This window comes from Homo sapiens, chromosome 1 (assembly GCF_000001405.40).
Source record: "Homo sapiens chromosome 1, GRCh38.p14 Primary Assembly".
Taxonomy (NCBI): Eukaryota; Metazoa; Chordata; class Mammalia; order Primates; family Hominidae; genus Homo; species Homo sapiens.
Genome location: NC_000001.11, coordinates 61,246,697 through 61,273,583, shown reverse-complemented (window position 1 = coordinate 61,273,583; position 26,887 = coordinate 61,246,697). Strand labels below are relative to the sequence as shown.

Genomic DNA, 26,887 nt, shown 5'->3' with positions numbered 1-26,887 from the left:
TGTTCAGCTTTCTGATACTGAACCACTGTCAGTGACTGAAAAATATGCTAAGCTTACACCTGAAAGGGGAGTGGGACTTCTAAGATGAGAAAGGAGCGCAAAAAGTCCTCTATCTCTGCTTGATGCCTTGCTTCTTGAGACCTGGCAAGGGAATATAGGGCATATCCCTCTGGTTTGTGAGTGGTTTGGAAATCTTACACAGTGTTTAGAAATTGCAGACAATCACCTCCTATGATCCACTGGCCCAAGCAGCACAGAGGCTGAGCTGAAGCCGTATCTGACACATAGGAGGCCCTCCAGAAATGTATACAGGTTAAAATGATGAATGATGGAGGAATATTTCACACATTTAAAAATTACAATGATTAGAGAAACCCACCATATTCTGGTGCCTGTAGACTGCCTCAAAATCCTCACAACTGCTGTTGTGAATTTCTTGATAAAGGAAAAGCAGACACACTGGTGAGGAACCCTTCCCACCCTAAAACAAACCGATGTCATTCCTGGTCCATCAACACGATAGCAACCAAAGTCTATGGACCATAAAAGCACAAATTCTGGTTCCACTAGAAAAATAATATAGCCTAAGTTTCAGCCTCCCTACATGCATAATGATTTGGCTAAAGATGAAGTCTGAAGAGCCTTTGTTAGAATTTTATGTCCAGTTTTAAATCTCCCAAATTAAAAGACGGTATGAAGAAACCAGAAGGCATCCAAACCCAAAAATATTAGTGAAAGAAATAAAGCGAAAATTCCACTCTCATGAGCTAGAGTTGTTTGTAGTATAAAAACTAAAAGGCAAAGACAGGAGTGAATACTTTCCTGCAAATAAATGAAGAGTTAGGAACATTTCTGAGGTAAAAGAAAGTAAGGAGTAAGGGTGATTACACTCTGAGTGTAATAAGCAGTTACCCTCTACAACTGTAGACCTTAAAGATGTTCAAAATTTAGATAAGTTTTAGTTTCTGAGGGTTTGGGAAGATAAGTACTCTGCAGAAGAGGCCAAGGAATTCATTTTTCTACATCTATAAGGTTGTAATAGAGAAATAATTCTGTTCTTATGAGTAACATAATTTTTAAAATTACTCTGTTTTGATCAGCCAGTACCATAAGTTTATTACATTAACGAAATCCAGAAAATCAAATAACTATAATAGTCACATTTTGCTTATTAGTCTCACAGCTGCAGTTATAAAAGAAATTATTATTGTAATACTTTGTAATATTTAGGAAAATTATCTATTTTTTCCAGTATGACCGTGACCTTAAAGACTGACGTGTGAAGAAAATATTGGAAAAACCTTATTTGAGAATGTAGAATGTCAGCGTACAGGTGTACACATGTATATACAATTTGTAGCTTAAGGGTAAACATTGATGAATACAACACCATCAGCTAAATATAATATTATCCATCATGGTCTGGTTAAGAACAAACAGAAATCTGTAACACCATTACTAAATCCGGACCACCGAAAATATGCAATTATGATTAGCATTTACAGAGAATGAATAAAATCTTTTAAGCTCAGTGAATAACCAAACTAATATTTAAGGTCAATTAATGTACACAACTGTGGCCCGCTTAATGAAAATTAACGTACAATAACCGAGTTCCTAAAACAGATAAAAGATGAGGTGAGTCATACCATAAAAGTTTTCTTAAGCTTTAAAAATGGAAACACTCTGTGGTTCTTTAAATGGGAAATCTTATCATTACTGGATTTTAAATACAAAATTTCATCTTTATAACTTTCCCAGCAAGCTAGAATTGAGTGTTTGTCTAGATATATGTACACGGTAACTGCAGTAATTAATGTATGCAGAGTAAGTCCTTTATCGAAGGGAGATGGGGAGCTGTGGCGGGGTGCAGGGGAACTCCTAGCTCCAAAAGGACCAGGCTAGTTTGCACGCATTGGTCCTCATCTCCTCTACTCCTGATTCAGACAGGGAGCAAGGTCTGTGTTCCTGCAGCAGCCACTTGGAAGGGCTCCCTCCACCAGACCACCCTGGGGGCTGCCAGCTGCTCTGGAGATCCACCCCTTAGTCACTCCCCTGTACCGCATTGTCAAGGCCTACTTAAGACTGTTACATAATCTAGGTTACTACCATTTTCTTTCTCAAAACTTTTCTTTTTGTAATGCCTTTCTGGCCACAAGTTTGTGAAATATTAAATTTACAGAAATTCAACTTTTCTGGTATTTCATTAATGTTGGTATTCCAGGGCCCATCTGTTTAGTCGGTACTGTGTACGATGATAAGACTGTTTAAGTTGAAGAGTGAGTCAACTGCCTTATCACCTACTCATCAATGTGTTATTTTTCTACATGCACAAGGAGGTTGCAGAATGATACACAGTTCTAACACGTTGAGAAAAAAATGAAATGGCATAACTATTGTTGTGTTATGACAGTGAGGGGAGGATCATTTCTAAGCTTTAAAAATGACAAATTCAGTCACTCTGAAAGTAATGACAAAATGACTCAATCATTAAACCTTCAATCTTCGCATGAGGCTGAATTTCAAGTAATGATCAGCTTTTTCAGTGATGTTATAAATGAAGTCAATGGTAAGAAGCTGGTGATTATAAAAGACAGGCAAACATGATACTTTGACTAAGTTTGTAACTTCTCACATTTTCTTTGAGAAGACGCTTTGACTAAACTAAACTAAAATGTCTAGGTAATCATTTTGAATTTTGTTTTCCCCATAAGAGGCGCTGTGTTCACAGCGGTGCCTGCTGATTAATTCAGAACTCAAGTTATTGAGTCTACCCGATCACCTACCCACTCCCATGTAAACAAAGACCTGCTTAAAAAGCCATCCCTGCAACATTATTGCATAGCAGAATTGTGCTTAATTTCCCCATTTAGTCACTTTTTTCACAATCAAAATTAATCTTAACACTAGGTTCTTGGAGTTCTTCAACAGGATGATATATACTTGAAGATTACTCATACAGCCATCTATACTACTTAATGTAGAAAATGTCCCTGTATTCTTTCCTACTATAAAATACATGCTTCAAATGAAAATGAAGGATAATTGAGTTATAATCTACATGCATTATTTTCATGTACCTGGATGTCTGCACAAACTTTTATTGAAATAATAAAATGCCCTCTATCAAGTGTAAACATGCTATTTAAGTCCAGGTAGCACCTTAAAGTACTAATTTTCTTGCATTCATATTCCACCATTGAAAAGAGTATGAAATGGTAAAAAGATGGTGTCCTAGAAACCTCAGCTATATAATTTAACTGTGCTGGATCTCAGTTTCTTCATCTGTAAAATGGAGACACTACTGATGATTTTGCCTAACTTAACAGGATGTTGTGTGGTTCAAATAAAATAAAGCAAGAAAACCTGGTTTTGAAACTCATAAAGGCCCCCCAAAATGTACATTTACCTCTGCCCTACAGATCTTCACATCCCAACAAGTTTTTCGTTTCTTTGTGAAAATCAACCCCAACCGACACATGATGTGATTCTAGTATAAAACATCAGGAGCACAGACCTGGTTTTAAAGAACAGGTTCTTAATTCTCATATACTGGGAAAGAGATTATCTTTGATAATGAAATGTAAATCTCAGCTTGCCGTTGTTTATTCCAGACAGACATTTGTGTGTTAAGTCTGTTTATCAGGCAACACTTTGTCTAAGCCAGGAAGTAGTCAGTCTTTGTAACAAGATGTATGCAAATGAATTTCCCATGAGTCTCTGCAGCAAATTGTAGCAGAGAAAAAATAATTCCTTGTTACTTTACCAGCAAGAAGCTACCTCAAAAGTAGACTAGAGACAGAGAACTATGAGCTAGACTATGCTGATGAGTTTAAATGAGTCCTAAACATGTGCTCACAGTCTGTTGCTCTTTATTCTAAGCAGACTTGGTGCATTACATCTGTTTATCAGACAACACTGTCTGGATATTCAAGCTTTGGAACCTGTGTGAAAATGAACAGTGACCATAATCCCATGAAATAACCTGTCTGTGGCAAAACTCCAAACCTCCTGCACTTTAAGAATTCTCACCAACAGAAACACCCACAAAACCTTAGAAACTTTAAAAAAAAATACATCCAGCTCTAACTCTTTGTCACCTTCTATCATAAATAACTTTTGTACAGGCATTGGATTTCCTAATGGTAATGACAGATTCATGTCAGAATGGTGAATTGCATCAAGCAAATTAGACTGATCAATAAAATATTTGCCAACAACAAATGTCTTATTTAAGTATCAAAACAGAGCTTTTAAAATAAAATACCTTCTATCATAATAGAAAGTATTCTTTAATTCTATTATTAAAATATTTGTCCGAAGTCTTCTTTATTCCTAATATAACCAATTCTTTTTTTTTTTTTTAAATTCTATACGTGAAGAGTTGAACAGTGTATTCATTTTCTTTTTGCTTTTCTTGTCGGTTTTCTACAGGGTTTGAAAATCTTACCGAAGGAATCAAATTGGTTTAGCTTGTCTTCCTAGACAAAATAAACACTTTAGGACTCTACTTGTTTGTATTCTCCTCAGTGGCGCTGTATGCATCAGCAGCTAAAAACAAAGAAACTTTTTAGCTGCTCAGACAAAATGCAGAAGCTTCCCAAACAACGAGGCAAGGGAGGGAGCACGGGTTCAGGGGACGGTGGGGGTGGAGAAGTGTGCGGAGAGTCTGACAGTCCATTCAATATAGGGATGATGGCTATAATGCATCCAGGGTCCCCTTGCTAATTAAATATGCATTGGCACAGTTTTGATCGATGCAAGCCATGGATCAGATGACACACCTGCAAAATCTTGAGCCCAGAGCTCCCAGGAAAAGGGAAAATACAGTCTTGTCTCCTTATCTTTGTTTTCAAAGGCTCTCAATTTCTGTGCTTAGATATCTAATTTAATTCTCTCACCCCTCAGCAAACTGGATTAGGGAAGTCAATACTGCCTTTGTGCATCAACAGGAAAACACAGCTTTCCTTTTATTCAATTTAGCTATGACCTTTAGACAAAGATAATGACAACTGTCTAAAAGTAAGGTTAAGGCCTCAAGAAGAAGACCCTCAGAACTAAGGCTCCCTAGAAATTTTGGATGACAAGGTGGTAGGGTTTACTGTGACATATCCCTTCCTGGTGAGAATAAAAGGAAGAAAGGGAATTAAGAATTGGTGTCGGGGGGTGGGGGCAGGGGAGTAGAGGGGCAGGAAGATAACATGGTAGAAGAGATTTGAAACCACAGAATAAATGACTAAACTCTGAAAAAATCAACTGGGTCTTGTCATATCCATAATCAGAAAATAATTCTGTGAAAGGATAGGAGTAAGAATGGCACAGTAACAATTTGCCTAAAAAATGCAGAAGCCTTAATGAGAAGGTTGAAGATTCTGTGGTTGGGTAAATCAGGAATTTCTTTTCCCCTTGAAGCATTTGAGAAAACAGGATTGTGTATGGAGTTTTGCCACAGACAGGTTATTTCAGTGTGTTGGTGAATCCCACTGCTGAGGAAAGCTATAACTAGAGATTCTAGACAAGTCTGGGATTCTGCAGTCATAGCAATATTCATACCACTACTCCTACCCAAAGGGGAAATGATACTGGATCATTCTCCTCTGAAACAACACAGGTTTTTTGATTTAGTTGTCTTTGGGCCTATCCATCTCGTTCATTCATTCATTCGCTTGGCATCTACTATGGTGCCTTTCACCCTGTATACCTGGAGATACAAAATGAAAAAAGGCAAGGTCCCTCCCCTCAAAAAGCTCCTAATCAGGATAAAGATTCTGTGACATCCCCTCTTGACTAAATCCTATCTCCTGGTGAAACTGGGGTAGAGCAACAAGTTGTTGTGTACATTCATAATTGCTTTTATTCTTTTACTATTAGCAGCAATCAATACCACTAAATGTACCCTTGGAACAATTTACAGCAGCCCTGATACTAACTGGCGGTGGTAGTGGTTAGGGTTAGCTCTTCTAGTGAGATAAAGAGAGGTTTAGGCAGAATCTTTTTTTAAGTGAAATATTAAGCTATTACTGCATAACTAGCATTGCTGGAAATGGTGTAAAGTATCCAATTTTTTTTTTTCTTGAGACGAAGTCTCCCTTTGTTGCCCAGGCTGGAGTGCAATGGTGCAATCTCGGCTCACTGCAACCTCCGCCTCCTGAGTTCAAGTGATTCTCCTGCCTCAGCCTCCCAAGTAGCTGGGATTACAGGTGCTGCCACCACGCCCAGCTAATTTTTGTGTTTTTTGGTAGAGACAGGGTTTCACCATGTTGGCCAGGCTGCTCTCGAACTACTGACCTCAGGTGATCCACCCACCTCAGCTTCCCAAAGTGCTGGGATTACAGGCATGAGCCACGGCACCCAGCCTAAAAGTATAAAAATATTTTTTTTTAAATCAGACTTTTCTCCTTAGAAACAATTGCATACATAGTACAGAATGTTATTCTGAATTAGGCCTGGTATCCTCCCTTTAATAGAAATGACAGTTCTACCAGAAGTAGCTATGGTATAGTGAAAAAAGGCAAAAGGCATGATAAAAGAAAACCTGGGTTTGAGTCCCTTCTTGGCTATTTATATTAGCTTTGAGGAATTGGGCAAGCCCCTTTACCTCCCTGAACCTCAACTGACTCATTCCAAATACCTGACTCTAGAGAGTACCAGGACTGAATGGCATGATTTACAGTGCCTTGTAAATTATGAGTGGCTATAATTCTCTAACTGTTCACTGCTTGGAAGCAGGTTTTCTAAAGCATATAGACTGGTTAAAGCATCATGCTATTTAATTTTCTGTCTCATTTTTACTGGCAGATAGCACCATGCCTGGAACATACAGATACTAACACATGTTTGTTGAAATGGAATTTAAATACAAAGATGAAAAAATAGCTCTTTCAGGCCAGGTACAGTGGCTCATGCCTGTAATCCCAGCACTTTGGGAGGCCGAGGTGGGCAGATCACCTGAGGTCAGGAGAGTTTGAGACCAGCCTGGCCAATATGGAGAAACCCCGTCTCTACTAAAAATACAAAAATTAGCTGGGCGTGGTGGAGCATGCCTGTAATCCCAGCTACTTGGGAGGCTGAGGCAGGAGAATTGCTTGAACCGGGAGGATGGCTTAAACCCAGGAGACAGAGGTTGCAGTGAGCTGAGATCGTGCCACTGCACTCCAGCCTGGGACACAGAGTGAAACTCCGTCTCAAAAATAAAAATAAAATAAAATAAAAAATAAAGAAAGAAAGAAAAAAAATTAGCTCTTTCAGAGCCATAAAATACAATAGGGTCTCTCTTGGGAAAGGTCAATAGGTGTTTGGGGTGTTCTTTCTGGTTTGGAGGAGACTCTATGACTGGAAGATGGTATGTTTCATGTGGTAAGAAGGGTCTCTATGGGAGTCAGGAGGTCTACTTTCTGGTCGTAAATCACCCATTTTCCCTTGGATATGTAAATTCTTACCTCTCCAGGCCAGAATATCTATAGATGAAGGTGAGGGTTAGGTGTTCAGCAAAGGTTCTTTCCAGCCTTTCTACATTTGAAACACATCACTAGCAATTGAGCTGTTGGTCTTCGGCTGCATTCAAGGCTAAGACTCTCATTTCATCAAAAGGCACTGAGTGATATTTGCTTATTTGCTGCTGATCATAAGTGCAATTAGAAATAACATGAGTGCAATAATCACTACAAGTCATAAACTGTGTCTTATTATACTTTATAAATGACCGCAAATAGCCCACTAACAGTTGCAAATGTTTATTTTCAGTGACTTGGCTAACCCCTGACCACAGAAGGCCATAAACTAAGTTTTTTCCTTTATATCTTGACCCATCGGGTCTTCCAGAAAACTTTGTGTTTCAGGAGCTACTAAAAAGATATCCTCAAAGAATTTAATCTAGATCCTAGAATTTAGGATAATACTTAAAAATATGTATTTTAGATATACCTTCTCTACGTTATATTATTAAAATAATGTGTTTTCAATTTCCACATTGACAATAACTTTTCTGTAATAACTTGGTTTTTGAACCTATAACAAATACACATGAATATAGGGAGTTAATCATTTGGTAACCAATAAATGCTCCACAGACTTCCCATATTATAATAAACCTCAGGTAATATCTGATTCTTCAGAAATTCACCCAAGCCTTTCCTAAGTGGAAATAGGCATATATTTTGCTTCTATGTCTTTATGAGAGATAAAATTATTTAAATGATGTAAGTGAATCATTTCACTTATAGGAGCTTCTGTTTGAATTCTACCATGGCTTTCTCCCTGACATATGCAGTGCTAAGTTATTTAAAATTAATTGCAGTACAATATTTTAAAATTTCTTCACATGGTGCTAATCTCGAGTGCTTTGGATGTTTGAACCACACTTGGAAGCCATCAAGTTCTGTGTATCTTTATACTATGGAACAGTGGAACATGCTAAAAGGATTAGTCAGTGATTTTCCAGTGAACTTTAATCTATAACCAAAGCTATACTGAATTACAAAACTTCAAAGATGTATGAGTTGATACAAATGGGAAAACTGCAAACATCCTATATAACAAGGAAAAAACAAACCTAGATAACTAAAACACGTGAATTCGCTTATGTAGCTTTGAAATCCTGAAACGCTTTCAAAGATCAGTAACCAGTCATGGGGTCCCACCCACTCAAACCCAGCTCAGTACCACTGAGCTTCTGTGCTCTCGCCTTCACCCAAAGTTCATTCCATCTGTCATTTACACCTAAGTACACTATCTACATTCTTGTCTGTAGTTACACTGGGGGGAGATAAAAATATTTTCCATTTCAGTAACTCAGTATTTGTGAGTAATTTGCTTAGTAATAATCCCAAAATTAAATTGTCTTCGTATAAGGACTACTAATAGTTTGTGTGGGATTTGCCAAATAAACTACCTTCGGGAAATCCTTTTTTTTTTTTTTTTTTTTTTTTTTTGTAAGGTGGAGTTTTGCTCTTATCGCCCAGGCTGGAGTGCAATGGTGCGATCTCGGCTCACTGCAACCTTCGCCTTCCGGGTTCTGGCAATTCTCCCGTCTCAGCCTCCTGAGTAGCTGGGATTACAGGCGCCCACCTCCATGCCCAGCTCTTTTTCTTTTTTGTATTTTTTAGTAGAGACAGGGTTTCACCATGTTGGCTAGGCTGGTCCTGAACTCCTGAGCTCAAGCAATCCACCCGCCTCAGCCTCCTGAAGCGCTGGGATTATAGGCGTGAGTCACCACGCTCAGTCAAATTCTTTTTTTCTAAAAGCTTCTTTTTTGTCACCTGGATGTATTTTAATAGAAAATCATGTTTGCTGGGAGGACTGTCTCTAACATACGTGCTATTTCAATAGCTGATCATCAAAAAGTCCAAGAGGGCGATTGGAACTTTTACTCTGATTCACTTTTCAAAAATCAGCATGGATCCCTCACTCTAAAGAATGACTATTGATTAACCTTTCTTAGGAGGAGGAAGCTTGTTTATGTCAGGGCCTCAAACATTTGTTATCACCTACTGTGTGCAAAGCATTATTCAGTCTTGAGATAGCTCATCATGTTCACCAAGAATTCCATTCATTCAACTCTGTATCATTTATAAAAGTTTACACTTTTTTTTTTTTAAGTCAGAGTCTCACTCTGCCACCCAGGCTGGAGTGCAGTGGTGTGATCTCTGCTCACTGCAACCTCTGCCTCCCGGGTTCAAGCGATTCTCCTGCCTCAGCCTCGTGAGTAGCTGGGACTCCAGGTGCATGTTGCCATGCCCAGCTAATTTTTGTATTTTTAGTAGAGACAGGGCTACGTTGGCCAGGCTTGTCTTGACTTCCTGGCCTCAAGTGATCCAGCTGCCTCAGCCTCCCAAAGTGCTGGGATTACAGGCGTGAGCCACCGTGCCCAGCCAATGCTATTTGTTTTTTGAGAGTAGCTACTTCCCTCGTCTTCACTGGTGGTGAGAACATGGAGTGTCTCTGTGTTAGAACCCTTGCCAAAGTCTATCAGGAGGTAAATATTCCTATGAATAGGTAATGGCTTATCTATTTTATATTCAACAAAAATTACTTATCTCTTGGCTTTACGGTTTTTCAAACATTTTGGTCATGGTGGAAGCCTATTCACAAGAAAGAGCCTATAGGAAGGCTGGGGCGCCTGTGTGTAAAACACAAGCGAGCAGTTCTACCTGCCCGTCATGCCCTGTTATCACACATCCTCACCCCACACTCCTGCCTGTGCTGGGCTCCTCACAGCAATGTTTAAACCCTGGCAGCATCAGCACAGCCAAGGCACTAACCTGTGGCTGTGAGTGATACCAGTATCACCTCTGTCTTTTTGCAGATTTACAGCCTTAAAGTAAGCAAAGAATAACCAGTGATTCAATCAGTTTGGTTAACATCTACAGACATTTCCTTTGGAAACTCTGTCCTGTTTTAATTTTTGGTTACTAGGAAAGAAGATAAAAACAAATCATTATTGGGAAAAACAAAGTCAAAGGAGAAATAGTTGGAAAAGGAAAAAGAAAGAGGTAGTAATAAAAGAAGTGCTATCCTTTGAACAGGTGACAGAAATAGCAACTCTTCAAATGAGATGGGAAATTTTATTGGCAACAAACATGGGAAAAGTTATAAGTAAGAATCAGAGTTTATTCAAGAATTAAAGGTGAAACAATATGCGGCAAGGTGTCTCCGAATTATCAGGTTAGTGTTGGGGATGGATGGAACAACACAGCAGAGCTACATGGGAATGAGGTGAAAGAAGGGATGAAAGTCCTTCTTTCATTTCCTTTGATTCTGGCTATCACCTCCCAAAATAGCACATAATTCCATAAGGAGACTATTCCATTTAGTAACTTTGAGACAATTCTTTCTTGATACTTTTGCCCAAATGATTTCCAAAAAAATCACTGAGTGTGTTTTCATTTTCCATTTTTACTTTATACTTTAATAACTCATCTATTGACTTAATGATTTCCTTTTCTCCTCTAAATGGAGGTCCTATAGAAAGGAAAGCATCTCTTAAGTTTTAGTCAACAAAGCCATAAGTCTTGACTACACTCATGCTCATTACAGCCTCACGTCTACACCATTGTAGATATACATTCTTCCAGTTGGCCTTAAAATCAACATGCCTTTTGTTTTAATGCTGCCTCGTTGGTACTGTTAAGGACATGTTTAGATTTCAGACTTTAAACAAACATATTTATAAGGACTTTCATTAAAAACGTTAGGCAAAACATTTTAAATTAGCAGAAAGTAACATCTCACCAGTAGTAGACAGAAATAAATTATTCAAAACTGTATACAAACACTGAAGTCATAATGAACAAAGTCATGCTGTAAGAAACCTCACTGTGAAAAGCTGGTACTTGCACAGTAATTGGGAGTGAAACAAAATACAAATTTTCACATAAAAAAATCTTACCCATTGCTTTTCATAAATCACTCAAAACTCCCCATTGTAGCACTCTCAAGGCAGAAACTCTTTATTTCCATAAAGAGAGAGAGTATAGAACAACATTAAAAGTCCCAAGACTCTTAGAGAAGAAATTCATGCAGAACATCAAATGTTACTCAACATTTTCAAGTAACCATAATATGTCAAACAGACCACATGATGCAAGTACATTTAAATATAAGTTTCTATTTCTGTTTTAAAATAAAAAAGATCAGAAATCTGAATCTGGAAAAGCAAAATCTCTTGCAGGTTTAGAAAGCATATACAAAACCTGGCAAAAGAAAACACTATTCACTGCCACCATCTGCTTTCTGGCACACTGAGGAAACTTTTACTAACAGCAACATTTTCTTACATTAGAAAATCCACTAATTAGTTTTGTTGTAATAAGAAAAATAACCTTTGCATGGAAGGCAGATCGCCAGCTTGCTTTTTTTGTTGTTGTTGGCTGTACCTTACATTAGGCCTGTAACATTTCCACGTAAAGTTAACCTCTTACTGAGTTCTCTTCTCCTAGAGTACTTTATTATTCCTGTTTAGTCTAAAGTAAGTACAGATGCACTTCGACTTATGATGGGGGTTGCATCCTGATAAATCCATTGGAAGTTGAAAGTATCATCAGTTGAAAATGCATTTGATACACCTAAACTACCAAACATTACAGCTTAGGCTAGTCTACCTTAAATGTGCTCAGAACACTTAACGTTATCCTGCAGTTGGGCAAAATCATCTAACACACAGCCTCTTTTATATTAAAGTGTTAAATATCTCATGTAATTTATTGAATACTGTACTGAAAGTGAAAACCAGTATTGTATGGGTAATCAAAGTCCCATTTTTATGGAATGTGGATTCTTAAGTTGAACCATCCTAAGTTAGAGACCATCTGTATTCATAAATGTGAGTGCAACAGAGGGGAAAAGCTTGAAGGTATTTGGCTTAACAACCCCTCAAAATGGACATCAAGTTCAGAATCAGGAAACCTGGGATTCAGAATCAACTGTTAGAAGCTGGGTTAGCCTGGGTCTTATGTACCTCATCTTTAAGGCCACTAAATAAAATGGGCTCCAGATTTCCCCTAAAATTCCTAAATTATTTGACTGTAAGTCATTTTTTCCTAAGAATTGTAGGTCCTAAGAAACAAATGACTTCAAAAGAGCAAATGGAGCTTCAGACATCACTGACAAACACTAAATAACTTTAGAAATTGTGTCATAGATATACTGATTACAATATTACAAATCATTCAGCAACCAAGGAAGTGGAAACTCTATGAAAATTTCTTGGCCGGGCGCAGGGGCTCACGCCTGTAATCCCAGCACCTCGGGAGGCCGAGGTGGGCAGATCATGAGGTCAGGAGATCGAGACCATCCTGGCTAACACGGTGAAACCCCGTCTCTACTAAAAATACAAAAAATTAGCCGGGCCTGGTGGTGGGCGCCTGTAGTCCCAGTTACTCCAGAGGTTGAGGCAGGAGAATGGCATGAACCCGGGAGGCGGAGCTTGCAGTGAGCCGAGATCAGGCCACTGCACTCCAGCCTGGGCGACAGAGCGAGACTCCGTCTCAAAAAAAAATAGTAATTTCTTGATAATATACTCTAATCATTTACTCAGCATATCATTCCACAAATAAAACTACAAATATTTATTGAGCATGTACTATGTGCCAAGCACTACTGTGAGTGCTAGAGATGAAGTCGTGAACAAAAAAGGCTCACCAAGCTCTGTCCTCACCCAGTCTATATCACAGGAAGCTTGTCACCTAGTGAGCTGACATTCATCCGCTGATGAATTCATTCGCCAACTGCAAATCGCTACACTGTGCAGAACAGAACAGTGACATAGTCTCTGGCGCCTGCTCACTGCTCGAAAAGTCTGCATGAACGTTCCTTAAGAAGACAAAACAAATGGGTACAAATACTATTTTCTGAAAAAGTGCATGGAAAATAGGTGTCATGTCCTTCAGAACAAAACAGGACACTGAGGCAGTAACTGTGACAGTTTGGACACAGCTTTTCTGTGAAAGACGTCTGCGACCTAAATTCCTCAAAGAGGCCCTGTGCCTTGAGTGAACACATTCACTAGTTCAAAACTCATCTCTTCCATTCCCTTGATTTTTTTTCCATAGGCTTTAACTTAGCTAAATTTAAAAACAAAGCTGCAACACAAGATGAGCTATTGCAATCTCAAAAGTCCCTCAGCCTAAGGAATGAGTGACAGGCACTGCAAGTTTAATTACCCCACTGGGATTGCAAAAACAAACCCATTCTACTCTTCTCAACTGCACGGCAACAATGGCTTTATTAACCCTCAATTGTCATTTAAAAACATTAATTAAAATTGTAACACTTCATCCAATGCTTTCTACCAAATATTTGAAAAGATTTCGGTTAAACTGTCCCAAAAATTGGCTTTGCTTCTACCTTGTTTACGCCAACAACCTTCTTAGGCACAGGAGGTAATTACACTCTTTCCCAATCTCTGTTAGTCACATGTATACAGCACAGATCTCCGTCTTAAATTTAGGATTCCATCCTTCTATTCTAACCAGTGTAGAAGATAACGTCAGAATCCTTTCCCTTCCTCTTGGCAGAACTCATCATTCCTTCCTCTGGCTCCCTACACCCTGGTTACTGAGAATGGGACTCAGATCCTAATTCATTTCTCTGTGTATATAACTCCCACGTGCCTTCCCAACAAGTTATAAGCCCTTGAGGGCACACAGCTCGTACTTGCCTAAATGAAGTGCTTGCACATAATATATGTTCAATAAGTGAGCCTTGAATGGAAGAACAGAGAGGGGAAGGGCCAGTCCGGGCAAGATTTTAAAGGAAGAGTAGAAATCTATCTCAGAGATGGCTTATAGACTTTTCTATCTCCTAGCAGAAACAAAGTCCAGTTACAAAAAAGTATACATTTTTCAATTAAGGCTAAAATTCCTAAACTGGCTACACATTAGGGAGCAAATTTCTTCTCTTTATCAGGGATGGGCAAAATGTGTCATCTATGGTCATAATAATCCTAATTGACAATGTAATATTTGAAATATAAACCAACAAAAATTAAAATTTAAAGAAGTGGATAGACAGTTTTCACAATTCTTTGCAAATTTTGTAGGAACCAGAGTCTTTAAAAACATTTCCTGGCCAGGCATGGTGGCTTATGCCTGTAATCCCAGCACTTTGGGAGGCCAAGGCAGGTGGATCGCTTGAGCTCAGGAGTTCGAGACCAGCCTGGGCAATGTGGCAAAACCCCGTCTCTACAAAAAAATTAGCTGGGTGTGGTGATGTGTGCCTGTAATCCCAGCTACTTAGAAGGCTGAGGTGGGAAGATCACTTCAGCCCAGGAGTCGAGACTGCAGTGAGCCATGATCATGTCACCCCACTCCAGCCTGGGTGGCAAAGTGAGACCCTGTTTCAAAAAAATAAAAAAAAAACCACATTTCCTATTATCTGTAGTAGGAATCCATTAGTTTATAGTCAAGTTCTGTTTAATGTGAATCCTGTTAGGTCCTTACTATAGAATATTTCTATAGTATGTGACTCTGGGCTTCTGCAGCAATGGTTTCATAATTGCTGAAGACCCCTTAATATACATCAGACAGCAAAGAACACTTCAGTACACATATGAGGAAGTAAAACAACCATGTTGGGACTAGTGTGTCTACAGGTCTGCTGTTAATGAGAAGAGAAGAGCAACAAAAATAAAGACATCAGAAGTTACATCTATAGATGACTGCAAATACAATATGAAAAAGTCCTTTTGGTTTTCATTGTAGCACGCATTTAAAAAGATGGGTCTAGAAACTGTGTTGAAAATGTCAGGCTGGCAACAAACTCCAACATGTAGCCTGTTTCCACACCCTATCTCACTCAACTGAATTGCTTTTATCTTTGGCATGATGTATACACAATCACAGATAAAATTAAATTCTTTTAAAAATCTGACCTGCAGTTGAGAATGCTGTTTCCAAAATTAGCCAAAAGTTATGAAAATGGCTTATTTTTATGTATCTACATTTTATTAGATGCTATTTATTAACATACTACAGGTATATTCAGAATATCAATAAAGTGATGTGGAATTGTGCAGATAATAAAATAATACACACTTTCAAGGCACATAGTATACATGATAAAAGATGATGAACTAATAATAAAGATTAAGGGTCCAGGATTACATCCCTGTAATCCCAGCACTTTAGGAGGCCAAGATGAGAGCATCATTTAAGACCAGCCTGGGAAACTTAGCAAAACCCTGTCTCAGGAAAAAAAAAAAAGAAAAAAAGAAAAAAAAAAAAAAACAGCTAAGCATGTAGTCCTAGTTACTCAGGAGGCTGAGATGAGAGGATCACCTAAGTCCAGGAGTTTGAGGCTATGCTGAGCTATGATTGTGTGCCACTGCACTCCAGTTCTGGCAACAGAGTGAGACCCTGGTTTGAAAAATAAATAATAAATAAACAAAGATGAAGGAAACAATATTCAAATAACATGAGAGGGGAAAAAGCTTCACTTACGAACTCAGTAGAGCTGGGTGTGGTGGCTCACGCCTATAATCCCAGCACTTTGGGAGGCCAAAGTAGGCAGATCATGAGGTCAGGAGTTCGAGACCATCCTGGCTAACATGGTGAAACCCCGTCTCTACTAAAAAAATACAAAAATTAGCTGGACATGGTGATGTGTGCCTGTAATCCCAGCTACTCGGGAGCCTGAGTCAGGAGAATTGCTTGAATCCGGGAGGCAGAGGTTGCAATGAGCCAAGATCATGCCACTGCACTCCAGCCTGGGTGACAGAGGGAGACTCTGTCTCAAAAAAAAAAAAAAAAAAAAAAAAAACAACGCAGTAAAAAATATAAAAAACAAAATCATGACTGGAGACAATTCTCTACCTCTGCACAAACATGCTTATCCTGCTACAGAGGACTAGTTAACTGAGCTGAGACAGCACAGACACACTTCTCTCACATTCCCACAACCTATTCTTGCCTCAATTCTCTGGGTACCTGAGGTAAAACGCAGCTAAGGATATTGGGTTTTCCTCTGGCTGAATAGAGGAACCGATCTTGAAAAACATAAATAAAAGAAACTAATTATTTGCGAATTTGCTAAAATAGATGGACTGTAAAACAACAAAACAAAACAAAACAAAAAACCCAACTGGTAGTCCTTTAATTATAACACTTAAATGCAGCTCTAAGTTGAAAGGTTTTAATTTATTTACCAAATTTATGAAAATGGTACATCTTTCTCTCAAGCCTTGAAGTTCTCGTCCCAGGCTGGCACAAGCACACACACATGCAGTGCCATGTGTATGGCACTGTGAGTGAGTCTTTTTGGGCCCTTACAACAGAGGGTCCTAAATAAATGATACAAGGATCATTTACTGGATCCTTGTATTTTGCTAACTACAGACCTGTGTAAACCATATTCTTGCAATCAAAACATGAAAGTATACAACATACAAGCACACAAACCATGACTGTTAACTTTCCTCTTTCTGTATTTCCCTTTTGACCAAAACATAACAAATAGCAGTATAAAGGTAGAATCTGGGCTCAGAAAATTCTCACTTTCTGGTTTAAAATGAACAACACTTAGGGACTAAACCAAGCTCGTCCAACCCACGGCCCAGGGGCCACATGCAGCCCAGGACAGCTTTGAACACGGCCCAACACAAATTCGTAAACTTTCTTACAACATTATGAGATTTTTTTTTTTTTTTTTTTTTTTTAGATGGAGTCTCACTTTCTCACCCAGGCTGGAGTGCAGAGGTGCGATCTTGGCTCACTGCAACCTCTGTCTCCTCGGTTCAAGCGATTCTCCTGCCTCAGCCTCCTGAGTAGCTGGGATTACAGGCACGCACCACCACACCCAGATAATTTTTTTTGTATTTTTAGTAGAGATGGGGTTTCACCATGTTGGCCAGGCTGGTCTTGAACTCCTGACCTCACCTCAAATGATCCACCCGCCTTGGCCTCCCCAAGTGCTGGGATTACAGGCGTGAGCCACCATGCCTGGCCAACATGCTAAGATTTTTTTGCGATTTTTGTTTTAAGCTCATCAGCTATCGTTAATGTTAGTGTACTTTATGTGTGACCCAAGGCAATTCTTCTTCTTCCAATGTGGTCGAGGGAAGCCAAAAGATTGGACATGCCTGGACTAAACGATATGCTAGGTATTTACAGAGCTAGAAATACTTCCTAGTGAGCTTACATTTGGTCTACCCGAGGGCAGCCTAGCAGCGGCCACATTAGTTGACATGGGAAGCTTGAGCCCCAAATTAAAAATCAACAAGCACAAGATCTGTATTATACAACAAAGTACCGAAGTTTTCATTTCTGTGATATATAAATTGTATGATAGTAAGAATCCTATGATCCCGTGTGAGGTGCCAAGAAAAAAGAGGTATCTTTTCTACTTAGTTTCACAACTGCCAGTCAGGTGCCAAGGTGACTTGAAGACCAAAACTTCCCACCAAAACCAAACCCTAGTTCTATTTCCACTATGGAACACAATAAAAATCTACTCGTAAAAGATTTTGAGTCTCCCACAAAGTAACATACTTTTAATGTGACCACATTTCAAACAGTTTACCCATCACAATAAGATCTGAAATACACATGGCATGTCTCCTTAGTCTGTTTCCCTTATTACACATGTGGTTTCCTCTTTCTAAATTCGGACTTATGCCCCATTTTAGAAGGTCAGGAGAAAGTAACGCATAATGCAAAAGTATTTCAAGCAAATCATATGATATCTGTACTTGATAATTTCTCATGGTTTTACACCAAGAGAATCACTGCATATTGAAGATTACACATTTTTTAAAAGCTAGAACACTGAGCCTTCCTTTCAGACAATTCAAACAAGGAGCGTATTGCTGACACAGCAACACTGTGGTCTCAGACTGTGGGAAATGTCAAATTTATGGTCCTGGGGGTGATTGGTGGATGGTTTTGTGGTGTGTATGGTGTTTTGTTTTGTTTTGTGTGTGCTTTTTCTTTTCTCTTTTGAGTCTCTGACAGAAACAGAGCTCTACAAACTTTCTGGCGACCTCCCAGGAAAACAGAAGGAAGCTGTATCCTGTACTTCCCCTGGGATCTAATGAAATATACAGCCTCTGGGCTTCTTTCAATTTGGACTTTCAGATCGCTAAGCCAGTGAAAAGGGGATCCTAGCTGTCACAAACGTCACATGGTCAGGGTCACCTGCTGCTCGGGGGTTCTCATGCCAGTTGTTGACATAATAAGCCCCCCTTACACTTTAATTACAATTCACAGTGTGCAAACTATGCAATCTGCTTTAAGGCAGACTGTCTTTTAAATCAACACTAAAATTCTACTACTAATATGGCAATGCAATGTAGCAGAGGAAGGGTGTGTCCACATGACTAACTATATGCAGATATCTGCCGTTTGGGAGACAGTGGGTAGCATTTGCCAAAATATAAAATGGTGTTGCTGACCCCAATTCTGGGAGATGGTACTTGAATCTTACTGTGCTCTGAGACTTCTTTCCATAGGCCACAAAAAGGTAATGCAATATACTTCATGTGTAGCATTTTACATTTGTATAACTACTATTTTTTTTCACATGGCTCCATAACTGTTCTATGTACTAATCTTGCCTATCCAACAGAAGGAGTGTTGAAGAACAGTGAATTTCTACTTCCCTATTTCTTCCCCTTTAAACCTAGGGCAGTGCCAGTGATGTTTAACACATGCTTCTAGAGTTGTGTCAATGCTCTATCATTTACTGGATCCTTGTATTTTGCTAACTACAGACCTGTGTAAGCTATATTTTTGCAATCAAAACATGAAAGGTCATTTTAAAACAGAGCCCATTTAAAATGATATGACAATGCAGGGAGCTGTTTAAAAAGTGCTAACACATAATTATAGTCTACAGTTTTCTCCAAAAACAACAGTGGAAATTAGTTACAATTCTATTACAGACAACTGCTATAAACTTAGGTGGGCTAACCTCTGAATGAACTATCCCAGTACTCTGGGAATTGCAATCTCATTTTCAGTGCCACAAATGACGTAAGATGGAACACACAAAACAAACCCACACAAAGTACTTTATGTTTATGAAGTCTTACTCAAACACCTTAGCTGAGCTAACCAGTATGTCTCACTGTAAAACACCACCACCACCAGTAACAACAAAATAAATAATCAAACAAAATAGAAGAAATCCAAATAGAAAAAAAAAGTTTTAAAAATAATAATGCCTATACTTGCTTTAATGAAGGATGTACCTGAATTACAAATGCCATCATGACAGATTAAATTAGCCAATAATTAGTCACTGCTTTATTTTTTTTTAGTGTCAAACAATGGTAGATACCAAGACAAGTAACAACAAAAGGCAAAAGAGTTTATTTTATTTAGACGTGGTCATTCTAACATAAGGAGAAGATGCATTTTCCTTTCAAAAATTGAGGTCTCTTTGGGCAAACTTTCAGTCCTTTGGCTATTAGGGTTTGTCTTCATGAAGGCAGACATAAAGCAATTCTGTTCTCTTCCTTATTTGAACACTTTCAGTCTTCACCTGGCTCTCTGCCACCCCAGCTAAACCACTTGACCTCTGATTACATAACAGTCCCCATCTGTGAGCTCAGCCATCCTCAGGAGATAGGAGGGGCCATGAGAAGCTCAAGTTCACCATGAGCCACAGCAGTAAGCCATGCTTTAGCCTCTGACCTGTGCTCCAATTTTGGTACAATGATTTCTGCCATGTTCTCCAACAGGTAAGCTCTACCTCAAGGACTAACTTCTGTACCTGTATTTGGTCAAGTGCCCTAGCTCATCTGGAACTGGAGATGTTGACTTGCTTTTCCCTACCTGCCTCCCAAGAACAAAATTCTGGCACGGAAACCCAGGCTAGCACGTGGAGCCCTATGACCCACTGACAGACTTCTCTGACACTAACCTTCTGCCTGGATTACTGTCATCTGCTTATGTTCTCTATTTCTTGGTTCTGTCCAACTTTTGGGACATTGAACTGCCAGTTAGACTTCCATGTTGTATAACACTCCACTAAGCTTACCAGCCAGTGCCTATACTCAGAGCATTTGGAACATGGCTGGACTGAACTTCTTTATGGAACTTCAAAACTACCAATCCCAGAATATCAACCTTCACGTAATTTCAGGTCCTGGCCCTTTACACATCTCATCCCAAGATATAAACTCTATCTGCCAATTCCCTTTTTTTCCCTTGGTAGGTAGGAAACAAAACATCTCTAAAACTCTGTAAAGAGTAGGAATACAAAATAGAATAGAAGTTACCTTATCCAGTACTGTTAGGGCCAGTTGTTGATTGGTTAATTTGAAAAAATGGATGAAGAAGATACTCATTAATGAGACATATGCACCTTAAACATTTTAACTTTGAGCATGTGTATGTACATTCTTTGGCCAATCTTTTTATGCAGAGGCAAAAATTTAAATTTAATAATGTCTGTTAATAATTGGAGCTCCACAGCATCTTTCTTATATAATGCGTATCTATAATGCATCATAAAAGATTTCCAGTTCCATTTACTTTAAGTAGTGGGAGAATTTAAAGATATTTCTAAAATAATCTAACAAAACTCTTATTTTTACAACCTTCTCTCATCTTCTGTAGTTATCTCACTGACATGTAATCTGACAGAAATTTTTGTAGCTTGCCTTTACTGATTCTTTCCAAGGCACTGGGTTAGTTTCATAGAAATAAAACTTTTCCATTTTGAACTTGCATGCCATTGGTTCACATAAATTTAATTAAATTACACAATGGTGATACAAATAAGACTAGTATAAACAGGTCCGGAATAACACAACTGACGTGGTAAGCACACAACTGGTAAAAACAATAGTGCTAGGATGTGGTAGTAGGTAACTGTTGGCCATGAAAATTCAACATGCCAAAGGAATCAGTATATTACAAAGAAAACAAAAAGTCTTGGTTCATCTTGCAAGCTGGTTAATACAGAGTTTCTACTATGAGGGTCTATCCAAAGAAAATATAATCCAAATATACATTGAATGGATATTGTGAGTAGGAATTGATGTTTGATGCATAATGCTTGATGCTGTGATACAATGTTGAAAAAGACATCTTTCCCAGCATTCTGGTATAGCTCTAATTTCTAATATCAAAAAGTAATTAGAAATAATTATAAGAAACTCCTCATTGGAGTTACTGTATTTTAAATGGTAACTGAATTGATACCTCTATCTACCTGCTGTAGGAGGCTTAATATTCAAGTTGATCTAAATATATTTAAAGAACACGAAAAATAGTCAGCTTACCTCCTAATACAGTATTTTCAAATTCTGAACTCTATTTATATTTTTGTTATTTTGTATCGTTACTTCTGTTTTCATTAAATACATGATTGCTGAAGCAGTTTTTAAAATTAGAGGCACTGTGTTAATACAAAAAATCAACTGCCATTTTAACATCACGTAGTCTGACAACTGAAAACAATCACATAACAGTCATAATTTTTCAGTATTTTATGATTTTTCAGGTTATGTAACTATCAGTTTTCACGTGATTGTACTTAAGATCAATCTTTTAGCAATAAGAAGCCTTAATCTCAACCTTCTGCTTTTTATCAGTTTACTTATTATCAGCTTCAAAATAAATGTATGACATAATTGTGTTACATATATGACAATAATGATGGTCACAGTAACAGCTAGCATTTATTGAATGTCTAGCAATAAAAATAAAGTGATTTATATATACATAACTTTCCCAGCAACTTTTGCAAAGTAAACATTACCATCTTCATTTCAGGGTGAGGAAACAGACAGCACTAAGAGAAAAAGCTGGAACTCAAAACCAAATTAACTCCAAACTTAAGTTTTCCCACTTCGACAAGGTGTGTGTATGTACGTAGTAAAGAGATCACGGAGTTCCCTTTCCAGTGAAATTTTTATTTGTACGGATGCATGTGTATGTAGGCATATGCGCACACAAACACACACATACACTTTAGTTAAATCAATTTCATATGCAAAAGAAAAGTGAGCCAGGGCTAAGTTATTAAAAGAAGCCTTTGAAGCAGAGAGTGATGATGTGTGAAAGACATACAACAAAAGTTTATTTAAACAAAGAACAAGCACAGAGGGATGGGACAAAAGTGAAAATAAGAGAAATGAAGGCTCTCCATCTTTTTTCTGTGTCTATGGATTTCTCATACATAGAAAAACAAAACAGTAAGAAAGAGATGTATGCAGTTTATGGAATATCCAAAAGTAAAATTAGTTTCAGCTAGGGCCCAGATGAACTCAACTCCACACTGATTTTTCAACAAAGTTTTTCTATGTGAAACACAATCATGTTATCCTGTAGTAAAGTCCTTGATATTAAACATAATTTCTTACTTCTAAGAAAAAACTCGAGCTATGATTTTAATAAATATTTTTATAGTATCTTTTTCAATGTCATGTTATGAAAGCAAAATTTTCAAGTAGGCTTCAGAAAAGAGATAGAGCCTTTTTACTTTCATTCATTATGCTCTGTAGAACATTTCAATATCCAGTGTACATTTCAACAGGCACTAAATTGGCCCATAATTTTCTTACAATTCAAATTTTTGTCTGGTCATCTTAATTAAAAGTGAAAAATTTGGCCAATCATACAGAAATTATATTCATGACACATACCATGTAGATCATATGGAAGTGGCATGGTACTTGTAAAAATAAACATTCCTCTTTTAGCAAAACAAAGAGCAACATTTACATTGCTCTTGGGGAGCAGAACAAAAAGAGAGGCCAAAAAGTTGCAATGGAGAAAGGTCTTCCAATCTAAAGTGAAAACTAATTTTGTCTGCTTGCATTTAAGTAGACATTATAAAAGTCTTACAGAGACGCCATGCTTACAGAAGGCATTATTGCCTTTGAATATAAATGAAAGCACATTTCTAGCACTTATATTATTACAAATATTGAAAATGGCCTCCAGAAGCTTTTAGCAATGTACGCTTTGTCTTGTTTCCAAAGAAGCAATCCAATTAAAATGATCATTTTCAGCATAGAGGACTAGGACAATGAACCGTACCTTGCACCCAGCATCTCAGAAATACTTTGGGGAAAAATTTATGGAAAATAGATTTGAAACTTCCATATGCTTTCTGTGCACTTTTACTAACCAAGCATAATTTACCAATATTTTCCTAGAAAAGGAACTGCATGTGTTTTTCTGCCTCTTGCAGTAAGTATCCATCCATGATTATTCCAACCCATACCATGTTTGCTTCCTTGAATTCACTATGTCACAGTGTATCTTGTGTACTCAAACTGTCAGCAGGAACATGGTAACGAATATTATTCTTTTTTTCTTTTTTTTGAGATCAAGTCTCACTCTGTTGCCTAGGCTGGAATGCTGTGGCATGATCTTGGCTCACTGGCTCACTGCAACCTCCGCCTCCCGGGTTCAAGCAATTCTTGTGCCTCAGCCTCCTGAGCAACTGGGACTACCGGCGACTGCCACCGCGCCCAGCTAATTTTTGTATTTTTAGTAGAGATGGGGTTTCACCAGAGTTTGAGGCCAGGCTAGTGTCAAACTCCTGACCTCAAGTGATCTACCCGCCTCGGCCTCCGAAAGTGCTGGGATCCACCTGCCTTGGCCTCTGAAAGTGCTTGGATTATAGGCGTGAGCCACCGCATCTGGCCATTATTCATTTTTGATACATTCCTTCCACCTCCCCCATCTAATAGCAAATACCCATGTTAAGCGTAAAGAAGACACTTAAAAAACGTGTTGGCTGAATTATTTTTCTTACAGTAAGATTATTTCATTGTTTGTCCTAACTATAACATCTGGTTAGTAAAGTTTTTGATTTGTAGAAATTATTTCCTTCTGAAAAAAATCAATGTTTACCATGTTGTTGTGGTCTAAATTTTTTCAATTCCATAAACTTAATTCTTGTGGCCATTTTTTCAATCAGTAAGTATGTAAGCACCTTTTATAAATTGTTTTAAAATAGTTTACACTACACTTGATACTGATGAAATTATAAAATAAAAATGTATTGTTTTATGTCTTTCAGGATGTATGTCATAAAAGTTGGATGCCTTCCTTTCAAGACATTTGAATGGATCACCAAATAATTACCTACTTTTCTCTCACAACTCAGATAAATAATTAAAAGGAGATATACACAGATTGGTTGCATACTTAAGAGTGAGAATCAATTAAAACAAAATTGTATGCATGTTCTTCTAATAATATATCCCTACAGGGACCATGAGATGCTACCTTTACATTTGTAAAATTACTGAGGTCAGATCAGAGCCTTAATGCTATTTCTCCATGAGCATTCAGAAGTGGTTGTGCATAGGCGTTATGTGGAATTGGGGCTGGGGAAGATTTAATTGGCAATTTTTTAGTTATTTAGTTTTAGTTATGCCCCAGAAACCAGAAATGGTCACTGAATATTTATTGAGCATGCCTAGAGTGGAAGTTTCTTATTTAAGTTGGTATTTAAGTTGGGACTGCAGTAAGGGGCATCTTTCACAAAGAAACGTTTTGGGATTACCTTTAAATAACATTTAAATCCCCTTCATTAATTGTCTCAGAGCTCTCCGGTGCAACTTAACAATAGGAAGCAGCTGTGCTCCAAACAAAAGAACACACAGCTCTGGGAAGATGCCACCATTTGAGAAATCACACATCATAAGGAAAGGTTGTTACTTCTAATTTAGTTCTGTGGACCAATTCAAGTTTGGGGGTTCCAGAAAGCCTGAAACCCTACCTCTCAGGGCTGTGTTTTAATATTAGGGAACTGTCTAATTTGTGCTTCAGGAAGTTCTGTGCATTTTTACGAAATCCATCTCACCGAAGCCTTTTAGTTAAAAGGCTTGCGTAATTGTGCACACAGATAAAAACTGCACTCATGATATTACATATTTTACTGCATTCTCCCTTGAATCTATCTGCCCATTATTATGGTTAATTATGCAGAGGTTTGGTTCTCTAGCTGGAGGGACAGCTAGTTGAGGGTGAGCTAGTTGAGGACCTTTATTTTTTTCCCTGCACCTAGTTCAGTAGCTGACATAGAAGGGCTTGGTAAATGCTGGCTCAATTAGATTTTTCAGAACTTTCTCAGACTAATGTTTGCTTATCACCGCACACATGTACAAGAACTACTTGAAACTCTTGAAAAGGAAATTTAGTCCTTTAAGGGTTCAGAAATAACAATGAAAGATAACATTCTCACCAAAAAACAAAAAAGCTCAAAACCAGGAAACACTTGATACAGGAGCTCATGAGAATACTTATTCTCTCATTTATTAAACTAAGAAAGTTCTCAGGATCATGTTGGCAGTAGACCATTTCTGGCCCTGAGATGAATGCCCTTTTTCCAAGTTAAAACCATGGCCCAGCTGTGAAATAATGATGGCTGCAAGGAACCCAATGGTGGCAGCAAACTCAACTCAAAGGCCCAATATTTGTAGGCACCAAACAGACAAGCCAGCAAAACAGGAGTGGTGACCAGATGTCAGCAACGGCCCGAGGGCATCCCTCTCACCTCCCCTCACACATAATGCTACTTTCTTCCCCCACCCATTAAGTGTGGCATCAAGAGCAATTACAGCACACCCCCAATGGACCGTGCCAGGTGGGGAGCTGTAACACCTGTCACAAGGCCTGCATGACATTAACGAGGACCCAGAAAGTAGCTTTAATGAGCTGACCCTGCCACAGATAGAACCTAGTGTGGTGTGGTGTATGCTGTGACTGTTCCAAAGATACTGCTCCCTATACGAAGAACCGGACCAAACACATACATTCTGAAAGCCCAGTTCTTCAGAGTGCCACTGCATATCACGAAATGAAACATGAAAGTCTGTGAAGTACACGTTTCACTTGGTGTCAGCTTAATGTTTTGTCCATCTGGAAATCCTTATCAATGGCATTCAGGTGATGAACTTGGGTTGTGTCTTGACACTCTTTTTGTGATAGAGTTGTAACTTTGGGAGTTGTAAGCTCCTTTTAAGAGAAGATGCATTTCTACCCCATCTAGCTCTTCCCAGTGCCCAAAAGCCAAGTACATGGCAGATGGCTGGAAGAATGAATGCAAAAACAGATGATGTATGAAAATTACTTAATGCTTACAAAACTTATCATGAGACAAACGGTCAAAAAAGTAAAATGGTTAAGAGACTGACAGAGCTCATTTTGGTTCACGGTCAACATTTACAGGTAAAGGGAATGAGTTCAGGATTCTTGAGCATCCAAGACACTGGCCTGTAAAAAGTCATACAATGCTTAGTCAACTTAATAAAATCACTAATATGCTAAGATACTAAGGCTACTAATAAAGAACTACAGACGAACCAGTGAGCCAATTTCACATCAGGAGCCCAGCAGGTGATGTCTAGGAGTAAGTACTCGGTACACGTTAACAATGATTATACTTCTGATTGCAATAATTAATAAGAGATATTAGCCTAGTGATT

At 38.3% G+C, this 26,887-nt stretch overlaps 1 protein-coding gene and 1 long non-coding RNA gene across 5 annotated transcripts in view, besides 2 other annotated features; one reads left to right on the top strand and one right to left on the bottom strand.

Moving 5' to 3' along the window:
• NFIA (nuclear factor I A) overlaps window positions 1-26,887 on the bottom strand; it is a 385,562-nt gene that overhangs the window by 189,205 nt on the left and 169,470 nt on the right. The gene's annotated exons all lie outside the window — the stretch shown is intronic.
• NFIA-AS1 (NFIA antisense RNA 1) lies at window positions 20,066-24,639 on the top strand. Its single transcript, NR_104180.1, has 4 exons — window positions 20,066-20,173; window positions 22,215-22,299; window positions 23,603-23,636; window positions 24,475-24,639. It is a non-coding gene; the product is annotated as an NFIA antisense RNA 1 (long non-coding RNA).
• Window positions 22,866-23,367: an enhancer, noted in NCBI's record as "NANOG hESC enhancer chr1:61715889-61716390 (GRCh37/hg19 assembly coordinates)". NCBI's record gives its function as "activates a minimal SCP1, AML or CMV promoter by ChIP-STARR-seq in naive H9 embryonic stem cells {active_cell/tissue: H9 hESC(naive)}" and the evidence as "EXISTENCE:reporter gene assay evidence [ECO:0000049][PMID:30033119]".
• Window positions 25,992-26,200: a silencer, noted in NCBI's record as "fragment chr1:61713056-61713264 (GRCh37/hg19 assembly coordinates)". NCBI's record gives its function as "represses an EF-1alpha promoter that drives an FKBP-Casp9 reporter gene in an ReSE screen in phorbol 12-myristate 13-acetate-treated (for megakaryocytic differentiation) K562 erythroleukemia cells {active_cell/tissue: K562(+PMA)}" and the evidence as "EXISTENCE:reporter gene assay evidence [ECO:0000049][PMID:32094911]".